General features: G+C 55.3%; 1 protein-coding gene across 12 annotated transcripts in view, besides 3 other annotated features; it reads left to right on the forward strand.

Moving 5' to 3' along the window:
• MAEA (macrophage erythroblast attacher, E3 ubiquitin ligase) overlaps positions 1-16,421 on the forward strand; it is a 50,247-nt gene that overhangs the window by 19,113 nt on the left and 14,713 nt on the right. For 5 of the 12 annotated variants that reach the window (NM_001017405.3, XM_006713849.3, XM_047449494.1 and 2 more), the window contains exons 2-4: positions 2,976-3,158; positions 6,394-6,597; positions 13,378-13,500. In NM_001017405.3, the coding sequence (NP_001017405.1) occupies positions 2,976-3,158; positions 6,394-6,597; positions 13,378-13,500 (510 nt within the window). Of the gene's footprint in view, positions 1-439; positions 710-783; positions 994-2,975; positions 3,159-6,393; positions 6,598-13,377; positions 13,501-16,421 lie in introns of those variants that run through there. The other 7 variants (NR_123716.2, NM_005882.5, NM_001297431.2 and 4 more) reach the window with 4 other exon arrangements.
• Positions 810-1,707: an enhancer, noted in NCBI's record as "H3K27ac-H3K4me1 hESC enhancer chr4:1303601-1304498 (GRCh37/hg19 assembly coordinates)". NCBI's record gives its function as "activates a minimal SCP1, AML or CMV promoter by ChIP-STARR-seq in naive H9 embryonic stem cells {active_cell/tissue: H9 hESC(naive)}" and the evidence as "EXISTENCE:reporter gene assay evidence [ECO:0000049][PMID:30033119]".
• Positions 8,441-8,941: an enhancer, noted in NCBI's record as "H3K4me1 hESC enhancer chr4:1311232-1311732 (GRCh37/hg19 assembly coordinates)". NCBI's record gives its function as "activates a minimal SCP1, AML or CMV promoter by ChIP-STARR-seq in naive H9 embryonic stem cells {active_cell/tissue: H9 hESC(naive)}" and the evidence as "EXISTENCE:reporter gene assay evidence [ECO:0000049][PMID:30033119]".
• Positions 14,497-15,696: an enhancer, noted in NCBI's record as "BRD4-independent group 4 enhancer chr4:1317288-1318487 (GRCh37/hg19 assembly coordinates)". NCBI's record gives its function as "activates an origin of replication core promoter dependent on BRD2, P300/CBP, MED14 and CDK7 cofactors, and independent of BRD4, by STARR-seq in HCT116 cells {active_cell/tissue: HCT116}" and the evidence as "EXISTENCE:reporter gene assay evidence [ECO:0000049][PMID:35650434]".

Consider the following 16,421-nt stretch of genomic DNA (forward strand, 5'->3'; position numbering starts at 1 on the left):
TGTCCTCATTTGGGCGAGCTGTATCTTCTGCGGGCTCATCTCTGCAGTGCTGTTTCTTGTGTCTTAGAATCTGCTGGCCCCTCTCTGCATTGCTGTTTCTTGTGTCTTACATTGTCTTTGTCCACGGATTTATTGTGTTTGATCACTAAGCAATATTTCTGAGTAGTTTTTCTGCCAGGAAGGTTTGTGTGTGCTCAGCTTTCAGCCCTTGCGTATCTGAAAGTAACTTCAGTTTGTCCTCATTCTTGAGTGATAATTTGGCTCGAGTTAGAGTCTTTAGCATTTCTGAAATTCCACTCACTCGGTCACCAAATGCCCTTTAAGGAGCCTGTGAAGGGGCTCTTGCTAACCAGCCAGCCCAGGCCAGTGGAGGGGAGCTTTTAGGGCCCGGAGTCACGTGCTGAGTCCCCCGGAAGAGGAGGCGGTGCTTTCCGGGGCTGGCCTGGCTCCTCTGGGGGGCGTGGATGTGGGGAGGAGCTGCTGTCTGGGTCAGCAGCTGCCCTGCTGGAGGGAGAGGGGGTGCTGCGCTCATCCCCTGAACTCAGATTGGATAGCCCCGGGCCAGCGCTGGAGGAGGAGCAGAGGCAGGGAGGTGGGAGGAGCGTGCGCAGAGGCGTGGGAGGCCTGAGGAGTAAGCGGCTGGATGTGGACCCTGAGAGCCACTGGCAGGGAGGTGGGGTCTTCCAGTTGTGAAGACACCGTGGCCCCGGTGAGCCCCTCCCCGGCCTCCTTCATGCCTGCGTTCTGCGTAACCGTGGCGCGTTCTGGGCAGGGCCTTTTCCCTTGCACTGGGAGCAAAGGGTTCCTGTCTGCAGCACACCAGCTGCCCGGAGCTCTGCCCTGTGCCTGAGCAGCGTCAGCACCGCGGTGAGGCGGACGGCCCGGCAGGGGTTGGAAAGTCCAGAAAGGCCCCGTTCCCGCGTAGAACTTGAATGCAGCTAAGGGACGTCCAGAGAGGCCTTTCCTTTTCTGGTGGCGGTCTGGAATGTGCTGGTGTGCGGATGCTGTGTGGGTTCCTCCGCGCGAGCGAGGGTGGTTGTGCCGCTTTGTCTAATGGTCTAATGGCGAAGACTTTCTGTCCTGCTCTTGTGAGGCGCCTGCACAGGCAGAGCAAAGACTGAGTATATGCCTTGCGTCCTTTAGAAATTCCACCTCGTGGCAGGACACACTCAGATAGGGTCTCCAGTGGGAGAGTCCTGCAGGCCGGTGTCGGGCTGTGGTGTCAGGGCCTCGGGGGGGCCTTCCCCAGTGGGTCTCGTTGAGCTCGCTTGCACTGGTCAGGTATTTATGGAGAGCTGAAGTGCTGTCTGCTGTGACTTCCCATCCACTAGATGTAGAGCAGACGAAAAGAATCTTTCCCGTCTTTCCTAAGCAGTGCCGAATCCTTGGGAGAAATCTTGAAGGCAGGCAGTGTGGATGATGGGACCCCAGGCTGCGTGGCACCAGCAAGCTTGGTTCCAGATGCCACACACGGTGCCTGGCTTCGAGTCCGTCTCCTGTTGTCACTGCTTTGTGAGTTGGTTAAGCGTGTTGTGTCTTGATAGCTTCCCTGCCCTCCTTCTCAACATCCTGACTCATTTGCTCACCAGCAAGGGTGAGTCCTGCTCGGTAGCAGACGGTGATGCTGGCTGCCATTTGCAAAGCCTCCTGTGTGGCTGTCTGGTGTGGACGAGAGCGTGTGCACCCTGTCACCCGCGGTGGGTCCACGTCGGCGCTGGGGGATGTCTGAGTGGAGGGCAGCTGGGGCCAGGCCGAGTGGGGAGTGGCAGCCGGGGGAACGGGCTCAGGGCCGGCCTTGCCACCCGCCTCCTGCCCCTGCTTTCGGGGGGAAAGTGAGTCTAGGGAAGAGCCCTGCTGTGTGGCTCCTTCCTCGGCTGAGGCCAGTCCTGTCTCTGTTGCCCTGGCTGTCCCTACTTCTGGGAAGCCCAAGCGCTGAGCTGCGTCCAGGTCTCCCTCACTGCAGCCCTGCCTTCCTCACGTGGCCTCACGGCTAAGCACAGTGGCTGACACGAGGTCGAGGCGTGCCCAGGGCCGGGGGAGCAGGCGGTACCCGAGAGTCTGTCCTCCCATGGTTGGGCACGGCTGGAGAGGAGGCGAGGTGGAGCGCTTGTTCTGGCACAGCTGCGACGGCAGAGTTGGGCCCACTGCTCTTGGGCGGCAGCACGGCCGTGTTGCTGATGCGCTGTGTGGTGAGCTGCCGGCCACCAGTGCAGCCAGGACCGCAGGTGGTGTTTCCTGCGGGAGCCCGGCCACGGAGGCCGGGGAGCGCTGGGGCGTGATTCTGTCGTGCCGCTTTCAAACCGTAGAGCACAGGAAACGGGCGGAGAAGAACTCAGCAGCGCTTCTCTCAGAGGGACAGAAAACTAACAACGACTTTAAGATTCTCCTTGATTGGCTTATTTCCACAGGGAATGGATGGTTCTTACGACTGGGGAAGGCAAACGCTGTCACACAGGAGAGGTGTGGGTCGTGCACTTGTGGCTTCCCGTGCGTGTGTGAGGCTTGCTGTGCCCAACCCCAGCCCGTGTGGAGCCCACGCCCCATGCACCCTTGTCCCTGCCCGGCCTGGCCTCGTGTGGTGGCGCCTGCAGCCGCAGCAGCCTGGCTGATCACCGGCCAGGCCTGTGTTTTACCGTCTGATAGCCTCACACCCCGGTCACTCCTCTCCTGTTTGGAAATTTCTTTAACTGTTCGTTATTCTGGATGAACTTTGGGATTATTTTGTCAACATACACGTACAATGTTTTTGGCAAAAATTGGGGTTGCTTCTCATCCAGGGATGTGGAGTGGCTCTCCGTTCAGCAGGGCTTTTGTGGGTCTTGGTTGAGGTTTAGAGTAGATACTTTTGAGACCATGAACCTTCTGAGACTTCTGCCTCTACAAGTGCCATGAGGAGACCTGGTGTGTCCTGGGTGTGGGGCTGGTGGGGCTCACACCAGGGGAGCAGATCCCTCACCATCCTCCTTCCTCTCCAGGTGCCCTACGAGACGCTGAACAAACGCTTTCGCGCCGCTCAGAAGAACATTGACCGGGAGACCAGCCACGTCACCATGGTGGTGGCCGAGCTGGAGAAGACGTTGAGCGGCTGCCCCGCCGTGGACTCCGTGGTCAGCCTGCTGGACGGCGTGGTGGAGAAGCTCAGCGTCCTCAAGAGGAAGGTTGGTCCCGCCTGGCGGTCCCTCTTCAGTCTGGGGCATGGACACCCCTTTTGTCTCGAAAATGAGTCCTAAGACAGGCAAGCTGCAATGATGGGAACGCGGGAGGTGCGGTTGGGGGCCCCCTTCCCTGCTGTCTGCCTTCTGGGGCCACTGTCGGCTGAGCAGGCCAGCTTCCTGTTCCTGTAGGGACCGTGTTGTCTTGCTCCAGGAGTGTCCAGAGTCCAGGCCACAGGGAGACCAGGATGTATAGCAGGTTGATTGATTTTTTTTTTTTTTTTTTTTTTTTGAGACAGAGTCCCACTGTGTCATTCAGGCTGGAGTTCAGTGGTGCGATCTCAGCTCACTGCAGCCTCCACCTCCGGGGTTCAGGCGATTCTCCTGCCTCAGCCTCACGAGTAGCTGGGACTACAGGCGCCCACCACCACGCCCGTCTAATTTTTGTATTGTTAGTAGAGACAGGGTTTCACCATGTTAGCCAGGCTGGTCTCGAACTCCTGACCTCAGGTGATTCACCTGCCTTGGCCTCCCAAAGCTGAAATTACAGGTGTAAGCCACTGCACGCGGCCTGATCGATTATTTTTAGATGGAATTTCACCTCCAAGGAGCATGTGGAGTTCCTTGTCACTGGGATTGGTGGACAGGGGCCTTGGGACTAATCTGGCCCACTGAAGACACCCAGAAAGTGGGATGAGATATCTTGAAACGTCGCACTGAAAATACCCAATAAACCATGAAACCGAAAGGAATCGCCAGGCCAGAACCGGAGGGCAGGGGTCAGAGGTGAGCAGCAAGAGACTGCTGTTGTCCCCTGGAGTGTTGGCCAGGCCAGATGGAGGTGAGGACCGATGACCCAAGCCTTGGAAAGTGGGGCCCAGTGGAGAGAAGGTGGGACCCCACGGTACTACAGCTCAGCGTGGGGTGTACCAGAAGTGGACTGGCGTTGACACAGCATTGCAGCCTACGTTCAGAGGACTGGGATGATTGGAGACCCTCAGCCTTCACTCCGGTGAGGTGGTCCCGGCTGGTGGTGCCTTCCAGCTCCGGGCAGAGTCAATTCAGATTCTTTCTTGGGGAGGATACCTTCAATATGGGCATAAGATGATTCTTAGATTCTCAGTTTTCAAGTACAACGTCCAGCACAGAGACAGCCTGGGCAACAGTGAGACCCTGTCTCAAGACACCACGATGGACTGGAGACCCAGCAGGCAGTAGACAGAGGGCTGCACGGACTGCAGGTGCAGGGGCTGCCAGGTGCCACACCTTACTGTGCTTAAAGAACAGAAGCAGGCTGGGCGCGGTGGCTCACACCTGGAAAGCACTGTGGAAAGCTGAGGCAGCAGAATCACTTGAGCGCAGGAGTTTGAGACCAGCCTGGGCAGCACAGGGAGACCCCATCTCCACAAAACATTAAAAATAGCCAAGCGTACTGGTGCCCTCCTGTAGCCCCAGCAGATACTCAGGAGGCTGAGGCAGAAGGATTGCTTGAGCCCAGGAGGTCAAGGCTGCAGTGAGCCACGATCATGCCACTGCACTCTAGCTGGGCGACAGCGAGACCCTATCTCAAAAAAAAGTTTGAAAGTCTCTGCAGGGAACAGACAGTATAAAAAGTGATTTAAGGCTGGACACTGTGGCTCACTTTGGAAGGGCGAGGCAGGTAGATTGCTTGAGCCCAGGAGTTTGAGATCAGCCTGGGCAACATGGCAAAACCCCATCTCTACAAAAAATAGCCAGGCGTGGTGACACACACCTGTAGTCTCAGCTAATTGGGAGGCTGAGGCAGGAGAATCGCTTGAGCCCAGGAGGTCGAGGTTGTAGTGAGCAGAGATTGTGTCACTGTACTCCAGACTGGGCAACAGAGTGAGACACTGTCTTAAAAAAGTGATTGGGCAGGCACAGTGGCTCACGCCTGCAATCCCAGCACTTTGGGAGGCCAAGGCAGGCGGATCACCTGAGGTCAGGAATTCAAGACCAGCCTGGCCAACATGGCGAAACCCCGTCTCTATTAAAAATACAAAAAAATTAGCCGGGCATGGTGTACGCCTGTGGTCCCAGCTACTCGGGAGGCTGAGGCAGGAGAATCACTTGAACCCAGGAGCTGGAGGTTGCAGTGAGCTGAGATCGCACCACTGCACTTCAGCCTGCACAGAGACTCTGTCTCCAAAAAAAAAAAAAAATTCAGAATTTAAAAGGGACTAAAATTTCAAGAAATGGGAAATATAATAACCAAAAATGAAAAACTCAACATTTGCCTATAACAGTTTAACAGTTAACAGACAAAGCTAAAGACAGAATTAGTGAACTGGAGGGTGATCGAGAATGGAGCACAGAGACTGAAAAATCAAAGTGGCTGCGAGAGTAAAGCATGGAATAGAGCAGAAACCTGTGGCATGTTTCACCAGAGCCCACCAGTGGGTGGGGACAGAGATGGTGCGGGGAGAGTGACCAAGGTTTCAGAACTGATGAGTACCACCAGGTCAGAATCCGACACAGAGTAAGTGAAAATAAACCGACATGGGATTTTCCCGTGGTGGAACTGAAGAAAACAGAGACAAAGAAATATTTGAAAAGCTCCTGAGGGCAAAAGATGACTTCCAAAGGGGCAACAGACAGCCGGACAGCTGATTTCTGCACAGCAGTTGGAAGCCAAAATTGGTAGAATGTGCTGAAAGAAGCCAGCCCGGATCCTGGATCTGTCCAGTAGTCAGTCGCCGTGTGTGCTGTCAAATTTTTAGCGAAGAATTCAGTTCCTCAGTTGCACCACTGCCCTTAAGTGTGTGGCAGCCACGTGGGCTGGTGGCAGCTGTGTTGGGCAGCACAGGCCTGGAACGTTTCTATCTAGCCCGATTCATTTTTAACAAAATTGACTTTAAGAAAAAAAGTATTGCAAAAGATTTTTTTAAAGTCACCTTATAATGATAAACAGTTTAACCAGAAAGGCATAGCAAATTTGAAATTGTATGCATCTGGCAACATGGCTTCAGGGTATATTAATATAAAGCCAGAAATAGCAGAGAGAAGCTGCAGATCCAGGGTGGTGGATTTTCACTGCCTCCGTCTGCAGCTCTTGGGCCAGGCACACCTGCCTAGCGGACTCGGTAGAGCACGGTTTTTTTTCTGTCCCGTAATCCCTGCTTTTCTCCTTGTGAGTGTTGTGGATTGGGGCAGCCTGGCCTCCCTTGGTGCAGGGCTGCGGGGCATCCCTGTCCTGAACGTGCCTCTGTTGTGTGTGGCTCAGGCGGTGGAATCCATCCAGGCCGAGGACGAGAGCGCCAAGCTGTGCAAGCGCCGGATCGAGCACCTCAAAGAGCATAGCAGCGACCAGCCCGCGGCGGCCAGCGTGTGGAAGAGGAAGCGCATGGATCGCATGATGGTGGAGCACCTGCTGCGTTGCGGCTACTACAACACGGCTGTCAAGCTGGCGCGCCAGAGCGGCATCGAGGTGGGTGCCCGCCAGACGCAGGCACAGCGCCCCAGCTGGCCCCAGGCCTATGGCCAGCCGCCCTGTGGCATGTCCCCCGGCATGCCTGTGTCCCTACATGCTTGTGTTCCCCTCCCCCCACCCCCGTATGCTTGTGTTCCCCTCCCCCCACCCCCGTGTGCGTGTGTCCCCCCTCCAGTGTGTGTGTGTGTCCCCCTCCCCGTGTGCGTGTCCCCCTCCCCCCATGTGCATGTCCCCACCCCTGTGTGCGTGTGTCCCCTTCCCGTGTGTGTGCCCCCCCCCCCCCAATGTGCGTGTTTCTCCCCCACCCCGTGTGTGTGTCTGCGCTGTGGTGAGGGCCTCCTCCCCAGCTGAGAGGCCCTGACCCTTTGTGGAAACGCACCTGGGACTTAGCCTTCTGAAGGCAGGAAGTCAGTGTCTAAGCGGCTCTCCAGGTTCTTCTCATTTCCCTGTGGTGTCTGCACACATCCTGCTTAGGATTTTCCCGCCCGATACCTGTACCCCGGGTTTTGCGCTGACACATGCTCCATTGCTTCCTCGTGAGAGCTTTGCCTTTATCTCAGGCGGGGTGCGTTTTCCGTGTTTTCTGTGGCACCCTGTAGAAACACGTGGCACCCTTGCCCTCTGTGGCTACAGCTGAGCAGACGCTGGGCGGTGCTGCCCTCTGGCACCTTTGGGCCAGGTTAGCTGGGGCGGCCTCTCTGCCATCGGGCAGTTGTCCACTGCTGTGGGGGCCCATGGCAGTTGGAGCCTCCCAGACCAGCACTTGGGCCCGTCGCCCTTGCCCCTGTCCAGATCCTGCTGTGGGAGCACAGCCTCACCTGACTCGGGTTAAGGTGGCGTCCGTGTTCCATTTGACTGAGATGACAACACTTGAGAACCTCTCAGGCAGGACTTGTGCGAGAGGATTGTGCCCCATGGCCCTGTCCCGGGCCCAGCCTCCCCATGCCCAGCCATGCGCCTGGCCCCACAGGCCTCCCTCCCATGCTGCTCCCTGCCACGGCTCCTCAGCCCACCTCCTCCCTGCTTCTGTCTAACCAGGGGTCTTCTCTCTTTCCACGGCTTAAATCCCACCCACATGTGTGTGGCTCCCACCTGGGGCATCATGGGCCTCAGCCCTGGCTGAATTCAACCCCAGCACAAGGCTCCCTTCCCAGCCTTGGAGGCGGCCTCACATTGTGCAGTCCAAGGCCTCGGGTGCCCATGGGGCCACACTCACGCCCCCATGCAGCCATCTGCACGCCCTGCTGGCTTGCAGCCTCCCCCACACTCCTGTCACGCTCCTGCCCAGCTCCCCAGCCTTGCGGCACTCCAGACTCACCCCCAGGCCCACCCGGCCCCACACTCCAGACTCACCTGCAGGCCCACCACGGCCCCACACTCTAGACTCACCCCCAGGCCCACCCCGGCCCCCACACTCCAGACTCACCTGCAGGCCCACCCGGTCCCACACTCCAGACTCACCCCCAGGCCCACCCCGGCCCCCACACTCCACACTCACCTGCAGGCCCACCCGGTCCCACACTCCAGACTCACCCGCAGGCCCACCCCAGCCCCCACACTCCAGACTCACCTGCAGGCCCACCCCAGCCCCCACACTCCAGACTCACCCGCAGGCTCACCCCAGCCCCCACACTCCAGACTCACCCGCAGGCCCACCCCAGCCCCCACACTCCAGACTCACCTGCAGGCCCACCCGGCCCCACACTCCAGACTCACCCGCAGGCCCCACACTCTGGACTCATCTGCAGGCCCCACACTCCGGACTCATCTGCAGGCCCCACACTCCGGACTCACCCGCAGACCCACCTGGCCCCACCCTCTTGCTGGCTCTTGTCCTCGGCATTTGTCCCGCACCTCGTTCACCTTCTCTCAGATGCTGCCCTGGGTGGAGCGGCACCCTCCCACCCATGCCTTCTCCCCACTGCTGCACAGCCTCCCTGCTTGTGTGTGTGTGTGGTGTCCGTCCTGCCCTCCAGGAGGGGAGTGGCGAGCAGCTGCCCAGTGGGCAGGGTGAGCGAGTGAGTCCTCGTGTCCTGGAGGCCCTCATCTGCCCAGACCTGCACAGCACTGTTGCTCTCGGCACCGCTGGGGTATGGCGTCTCGGTTCACAAGCGTGAATGTGATGTGTCACAGCTGTGCCATGAGTTGATCTGCCAGATGGCAAAGTGCACTGATCCTCTGCGGTGACCGGGGCTGGTGCCCCTGGGTGCCCTGCAGTCTTGTTGAGTTTCCGAAGTCTCCAGGTCATGACTCGCAGCCACTCCAGTGTGCACCCAACATTCTCATCGCTGGACGGGGTCGTCTGTGATGCCTCTGCCGTGCTGCCCACTGGGCTGCTGTGGCCCCCATCTGGTGCCATTTTTCCTCCACCTGGGTGTCAGGGAAGGGCATTCTCACCTGCACCTGCCCAGGCTCATGTGACGGACAGTGGGCCAGCACATGTCCGCTCCGGTGCCCTGTCCCACATGCCTTTCCCACCCACCCGCCTCCCTGGCCCCGTGTGCCCGGCTTCCCCCAATGCACAGGCCCTCGCTCCGTGCTGCCCACATGTCCTGGCTGCCTGGGGCGGCCCCCCGTGTGTTCATAGATGACCTAGCCATCCTCTCCTAAACGCCCAGCACACTGTCCTTGGGACCCATGGGGTGTGACCAAGCAACCTGGCGGTGGCTGCTGAAGCATGAGCTGTGGGTGCCCCTGGCCCCAGGGAATGTGCGCTGTGTTGGGGGAGAGAGACGTGAAGTGAAAGAAGGGGGTCCTGTGGTGGGCACAGGCCACGCGTTCCACAGAAGTGCGTAGAGCAGGGTGGATATGGGAGTGCTGATGATTCTAAGGCCAGTTGGAGTAGGCCTCAGCAGGGTGAGACGGGCTACACTCAAGGTGTTGGGGTGCCCTGAGCATGTCTGTCCAAAAGAGGGCCTGGAGCTGCTGTGTGGAAGAAGGCGGGCGTGTGGAGCCCATGAGGACTGGGTTGCGGGGGAGGGGTTCTTTCTGCTGAGATGCTCCGGAGGGCGTTGAGCTGAGGAATCGCTTTTGACCACAGGTGACCATGGCACTAGGAAGCCCTGGGGAAGGTGCTGCTGTGGCCGAGGGGGAGCTGCCAGGTTGTGGAAATGTAAACCCCGGCTGCGCTGGTCAGACCTGGACTTCCTGTAGGGGGCGCCATGGAATTCCCACGTGGGACCCCAGTTTCCTACCTGTGCACCAAAATTCCTGTGCACCAAAATTGGAGACGTGACAAACTTAGGAAAATAACCTCATGCTCTGGATTGGAGCAAGGTCCCAGACAATACAGGACAGGAAGCTGCTGCCAAGGGAAGGCCACCCAGGAACAGGACAGGAAGCTGCTGCCCAGGGAAGGCCACACAGGAACAGGACAGGAAGCCTGCTGCCGAGGGAAGGCTGCCCAGGAGGGGCAGAACAGAGTCCTCAGTGTGGCTGGTGCTGTGCGCCTGCCTGTGCTGCCTTAGGCTGGACGCAGGGCTCTCAACCCGTAATCCTAGCACTCTGGGAGGCTGAGGCGAGCGGATCTGTTGAGCCCAGGAGTTTGAGACCAGCCTGGGCAGCAAAGTGAGAACCCTTCTCTACAAATTTTTTTTCAAATTAGCTGGGAGTGTTGGTGGGTGCCTGGGGTCCCAGCTACTCTGGAGGCTGCAGTGGGAGGATCACTTGAGCCCAGGAGGTGGAGGCTGCAGTGAGCCAAGATTGCACCACTGCACTCCAGCCTGGGCAACAGGACAACACCCTGTCTCAAAACAAACAAAAGTCAGCATGAGCATTTCGTGTGAGACAGAAAACCAGTTCACTTAGATGGTTTCTAGTTTCAGTTGACGTACGAGCCTGCTGCCAGCTGGCCTCACATCTTTCATGTGACTCTCACAACCGGAGACCCGGACATTGGAGAAACCCTCAGTAAGAGAGATCCAACTGGGTTCAGACCCCGAGGCTGTGTTGACGGGACATGAGGCAGGATATAGACCAGGAGCCACCTCCTGAAATTTAGAGCAAAACTACAAAACAAGGCCTTTGGGAGACCAGGGTGGGAGCATCACTTGAGCCCAGGAATTTGAGGCAACAGTGAGCCATGATCTCACCACTGTATTCCATCCAGTCTGGACAAGAGAGCGAGACCCTGTCTCAAAAAAAAAAAAATGGTTTTTCAAGTTGCAAAACAAAGTAAGACTTTGTGGGAGACCCAACATTCGCCTGCCCTGAAGGGGCTTCAGAAAAGAAATCATCAAAGCAAACATGCAAGAAAACACTATGAAGGGGCTCCAGAAAAGAATCATCAAAGCAAACATGCAAGAAAACGCTATGAAGGGGCTTCAGAAAAGAATCATCAAAGCAAACATTCAAGAAAACGCTATGAAGGGGCTTCAGAAAAGAATCATCAAAGCAAACATGCAAGAAAACGCTATGAAGGGGCTCCAGAAAAGAAATCATCAAAGCAAACATGCAAGGAAACGCTATGAAGGGGCTTCAGAAAAGAAATCATCAAAGCAAACATGCAAGAAAACGCTATGAAGGGGCTTCAGAAAAGAATCATCAAAGCAAACATGCAAGAAAACACTATGAAGGGGCTTCAGAAATCATCAGAACAAACGTGCAAGAAAACACTATGAAGGGGCTTCAGAAAAGAAATCAAAGCAAACGTGCAAGAAAACTCTATGACGGGGCTTCAGAAAAGAAATCAAAGCAAACGTGCAAGAAAATGCTATGAAGGGGCTTCAGAAAAGAAATCATCAAAGCAAACATGCAAGAAAATGCTATGAAGGGGCTTCAGAAAAGAATCATCAACATGCAGGAAAACGCTGTGAAGGGGCTTTAGAAAGAAATTATCAAAGCAAATATGCAAGAAAACGCTATGAAGGGGCTTCAGAAAAGAAATCATCAAAGCAAACATGCAAGAAAACGCTATGAAGGGGCTTCAGAAAAGAAATCATCAAAGCAAACCTGCAAGAAAATGCTATGAAGGGGCTTCAGAAAAGAAATCAAAGCAAACGTGCAAGAAAACGCTATGGAGGGGCATCAGAAAAGAAATAATCAAAGCAAACGTGCAAGAAGACACTATGAAGGGGTTTCAGAAAAGAAATCATCAACATGAACATGCAAGAAGACGCTATGAAGGGGCTTCAGAAAAGAAATCATCAAAGCGAACATGCAAGAAAACGCTATGAAGGGGCTTCAGAAAAGAAATCATCAAAGCAAACATGCAAGAGGCCGGGCACGGTGGCTCACGCCTGTAATCCCAGCACTCTGGGAGGCCAAGGTGGGCAGATCACGAGTTCAGGAGATCGAGACCATCCTGGCTAACACGGTGAAACCCTGTCTCTACTAAAAATACAAAAATTTAGCCGGGCGTGGTGGCAGGCGCCTGTAGTCCCAGCTACCCGGGAGGCCAAGGCAGGAGAATGGTGTGAACCCAGGAGGCGGAGCTTGCAGTGAGTGGAGATTGCGCCACTGCACTCCAGCCTGGGCGGCAGAGCGAGACTCCGTCTCAAAAAAACAAACAAAAGCACACATGCAAGAAAATGCTTTGAAGGGGCTTCAGAAAAGAATAATCAACATGCAAGAAAACGCTATGAAGGGGCTTCAGAAAAGAAATCATCAAAGCAAATGTGCAAGAAAACGCTATGAAGGGGCTTCAGAAAAGAAATCATCAAAGCAAACGTGCAAGAAAACGCTATGAAGGGGCTTTAAAAAAGATATCATCAAAGCAAACATGCAAGAAAACGCTATGAAGGGGTTTCAGAAACGAGAAACCGTTAAAGAAAAGATGCAAGGAAACAACACTGTGAGGGGTTTCAGAAAAGAGAAATCATCAAAGCAAACATGCAAGAAAATGCTATGAAGGGGTTTCAGAAACAAGAAATCATGAAAGAAAAGGTGCAAGAAAACAACGTTATGAGGGGTTTCAGAAAAGAGTAATCATCAAAGAAAACAGCGCATCTGTGAGGCCGGTGGTCCAGACGTGGGGCTGTGGGACCCAAGTGGTGAACTGTGGCCTCATCCTGGGCCGTTGGGTCCTGGGCTATGTGCAGGCGGAGGTGCCGTCCTTGGTCCCACTGGGGAAGGTCGGGAGTCATTGCTGCTGAGGACCACCTGAGCGCTTGCCCCAAGCCTTGCCGTGCCTGGTGGAGTCCCGTACCAGCTGCTGTCCTGCCCCTGCCAGAGACCATGGGTTCCACTGCTAGGCACTGAGCACCCACCCCCTGTGCCCGGCCACTAGCGGAGACTTGATGCTAAGCCTGGGTTACTCTGTTTTTTTTGTTGTTTTTTTTTTTTTTCTTTGCTTTCATATAAATCATTGGTTGTAACTACCGCGATATTAGCCATAATGTGTTTATGTATTATTTAGCATGTTATTATTTGCTTACTGTTGATTTTGAAATGAGGGGGCTGCCCAGGGAGGGCCTGTAGATGTGCTGGGGGGCTGTGGGGAGTGGAGACAGGGCCGCCTGGCATGTGGCCTGGCCCTGCCTGCATGTGTGTCTCAGCAGCTCCTCTCCATGGACAGGTGGGGCCAGCCTGGCTCCCTTGCCCGGCTATGGCTGCTGTCTACGTGAGCGTCCGACCTTTTGGTCCTTGGGGGCTGTTCTGTTCCTAGGATCTCAGAGCGGCCCTGAGTAGTCCACGAGTGCAGACCCACAGTGTGGACTGGAGATGCATCTCGAGTGGTGGCCGGTGCTGGGCCTGCCTCATGGAGGCTGGGGTGTGGGAGGGTGGCATGGGGGCCTTGAGCCAGCACATTCTGATCAGGTGCTGCTTCCTTCCTCTAAGGACCTAGTGAATATTGAGATGTTCCTGACGGCCAAAGAGGTGGAGGAGTCCCTGGAGAGGCGTGAGACGGCCACCTGCCTGGCCTGGTGCCATGACAACAAGTCCCGGCTCCGGAAGATGAAGGTGCACGGACTCCCAGGTTGGGGTGGGAGTGGGTCGGGGCCGAGGCTGCGCCACCTGCCCTGGAGCCAGCACCCCCTTGCCTGGTGGTTCACAGTAGTTTGGTTTTGGTTTGTAAGGTGGGGGTTGGGTTTGGGAGTTTTTTTGGTGGCTGTGTTACACTTTTAGGCTAAAATCTGGAAAAGTGCACCTCATTTGGCATTACAGTTTGTGTACAGCTGGCATGAGGCTCAGAAGGAGTGGGTTACAGGAGGCTGACCATGTGCACACAGAGTGTTGGGGCTGCTGGGCTTAGAGCCTGGAGACAGGTCAGTCCTGCTCCATGGGGGTACTCCATGGGCTCCCTGTGCTCAGTCATAGACACAGAAAAGCTGGTTGGGAAGTCATTCTCCATCTGCGAGGCTGCAGAGCTCTGGGCTGTGATATTGTTAATGAATACCCACTTTTTTTTTTTTTTTTTTTTTTTTTTTTTTGAGACGGAGTCTCGCTTTGTCGCCAGGGTGGAGTGCAGTGGCACGATCTTGGCTCACTTGCCTCCGGTGTTCAAGCGATTCTCTTGCCTTGGCCTCCTGAGTAGCTGGGATTATAGGCATGCGCCACCATGCCCGGCTAATTTTTGTATTTTTAGTAGACATGGGATTTCACCACGTTGGCCAGGATGGTCTTGATCTCCTGACCTTGTGATCCACCTGCCTCAACCTCCCAAAGTGCTGGGATTACAGGCGTGAGCCACCGTGCCCGGCCGAGTACCGACTTTTGTAGAGACCAAAAGAAGCTTAAGAAATGGACTCCTAAAGGACAAAATTTAAACCTGCTTATTAAAAGGCATTGTCACCCTAGGGGCTTGCAGAAATGTTTTAACTTATGTTAACACTTCTGCCTCCATTAGCAAAACTTTTCTGTCTTCTAAACTGAGCGCTGCTTTAACCTCACCCTGGCTGAGTTTGGCAGGGTGCACGCAGTTACCAGCCAGGAGTGACACACTGCCACTCAGGGCCGCCAAAACAAGCACGAAGCAAAGACGGGACGAAAAAGTAGAGCGGCTAGTAGCTCCCCTAAAGAGAGTTTGGACCTTGGTATGGAAACCCTAAAAGGAAAGCCAGAATTGGTATGTAACCTGCGGCCCCACTACACAGTGCCAGCCCCACACTCCCTCCCAGAGAGCCGGCACACACCTCACAGTGGGAACTCTGCCAGGGCTGTTTCCTGTGGATGTCAGAGGGAAGATAGGTTCTTGGTGCTGCCAGGATATTCCTGCAAGCCCTAATTACCTGCCGGACAGTGTTGCTGGAGGGTGTTGGAGGCTTGCCACGAGCACACGACCTGTCTGAAGCTGCTGTGGGGACAGGCAGGGCCAGGACTCGGGGCCCTGAATGCATGCCTGGGGGACGAGTGTGCCTGGTGTTGGATGAAGTTGAGATTGGATGCCTGGTGGATGAGCGTGCCTGGTGTTGGATAAGTTGAGATTGGGTGAGCATGCCTTGTGTTGGATGAGTTGAGATTGGATGAGCGTGCTTGGTGTTGGATGAAGTTGAGATTGGATGCCTGGTGGATCAGTGTGTCTGGTGTTGGATGGAGTTGAGATTGGATGCCTGGTGGATGAGTGTGCCTGGTATTGGATGAAGTTGAGATTGGATGCCTGGTGGATGAGTATGTCTGGTGTTGGATGAAGTTGAGATTGGATGCCTGGTCAATGAGTGTGCCTGGCGTTGGATGAGTTGAGATTGGATGCCTGGTGGATGAGCGTGTCTGGTGTTGGATGAGTTGAGATTGGATGCCTGGTGGATGAGTGTGTCTGGTGTTGGATGAAGTTGAGATTGGTTTGGATGAAGTTGAGATTGGATGCCTGGTGGACGAGTGTGTCTGGTGTTGGATGAAGTTGAGGTTGGATGCCTGGTGGATGAGTGTGTCTGGTGTTGGATGAAGTTGAGATTGGTGTTGGATGAAGTTGAGATTGGATGCCTGGTGGATGACCGTGCCTGGTGTTGGATAAAGTTGAGATTGGATGCTTGGTGGATGAGCGTGCCTGGTGTTGGATGAGTTGAGATTGGATGAGCGTGCCTGGTGTTGGATGAGTTGAGGTTGGATGAGTGTGCCTGGTGTTGGATGAGTTGAGATTGGATGAGCGTGCCTGGTGTTGGATGAGTTGAGATTGGATGCCTGGTGGATGAGTGTGTCTGGTGTTGGATGAAGTTGAGATTGGATGCCTGGTGGATGAGTGTGTCTGGTGTTGGATGAAGTTGAGATTGGATGCCTGGTGGATGAGTGTGTCTGGTGTTGGATAAAGTTGAGATTGGTGTTGGATGATTTGAGATTGGATGCCTGGTGGATGAGCGTGCCTGGTGTTGGATGAGTTGAGATTGGATGAGCGTGCCTGGTGTTGGATGAGTTGAGATTGGATGAGCGTGCCTGGTGTTGGATGAGTTGAGATTGGATGAGCGTGCCTGGTGTTGGATGAAGTCGAGACTGGACGGGGCCTGAATCCATATTTAGATGCTGTCCAGAAATGCGCCCTGAAGACTCCAAATGACACGAAAACATGCCCGGTACGAGATGCGGCCGAGCCAGTTGGGGTACACGGCTGTCTGTGCAGTCTGCTCACATGTGCACGCACGCCAGGGGGTGTGTGGGGAGGCAAGGAGGAGCCAGACTGTGCTCTAACGGGTCCCTGGGACCAGCTGTGAGAACCTAGATGGGAAAAGAAACTTGAGACCCAAGTTTGACCTGGCTGAGAGATGGATTTCACAGGCATGGGTGGGTGAGTGGCCCTGAAGGCCCCTGAAGCAGTGATTTGTTTGCTGCACGTCTGTGCGAAAGCCACACGGAGCCATCAGTGTGGGCGCCTGTCGCAGGGCGGGCACAGCCTTGTTGGCGCTCCACGCCGTATGGGACAGTGTAGACTCGGTGTTTTAGATTTGGGTCTG

This window comes from Homo sapiens, chromosome 4 (assembly GCF_000001405.40).
Source record: "Homo sapiens chromosome 4, GRCh38.p14 Primary Assembly".
Classification (NCBI taxonomy): Eukaryota; Metazoa; Chordata; class Mammalia; order Primates; family Hominidae; genus Homo; species Homo sapiens.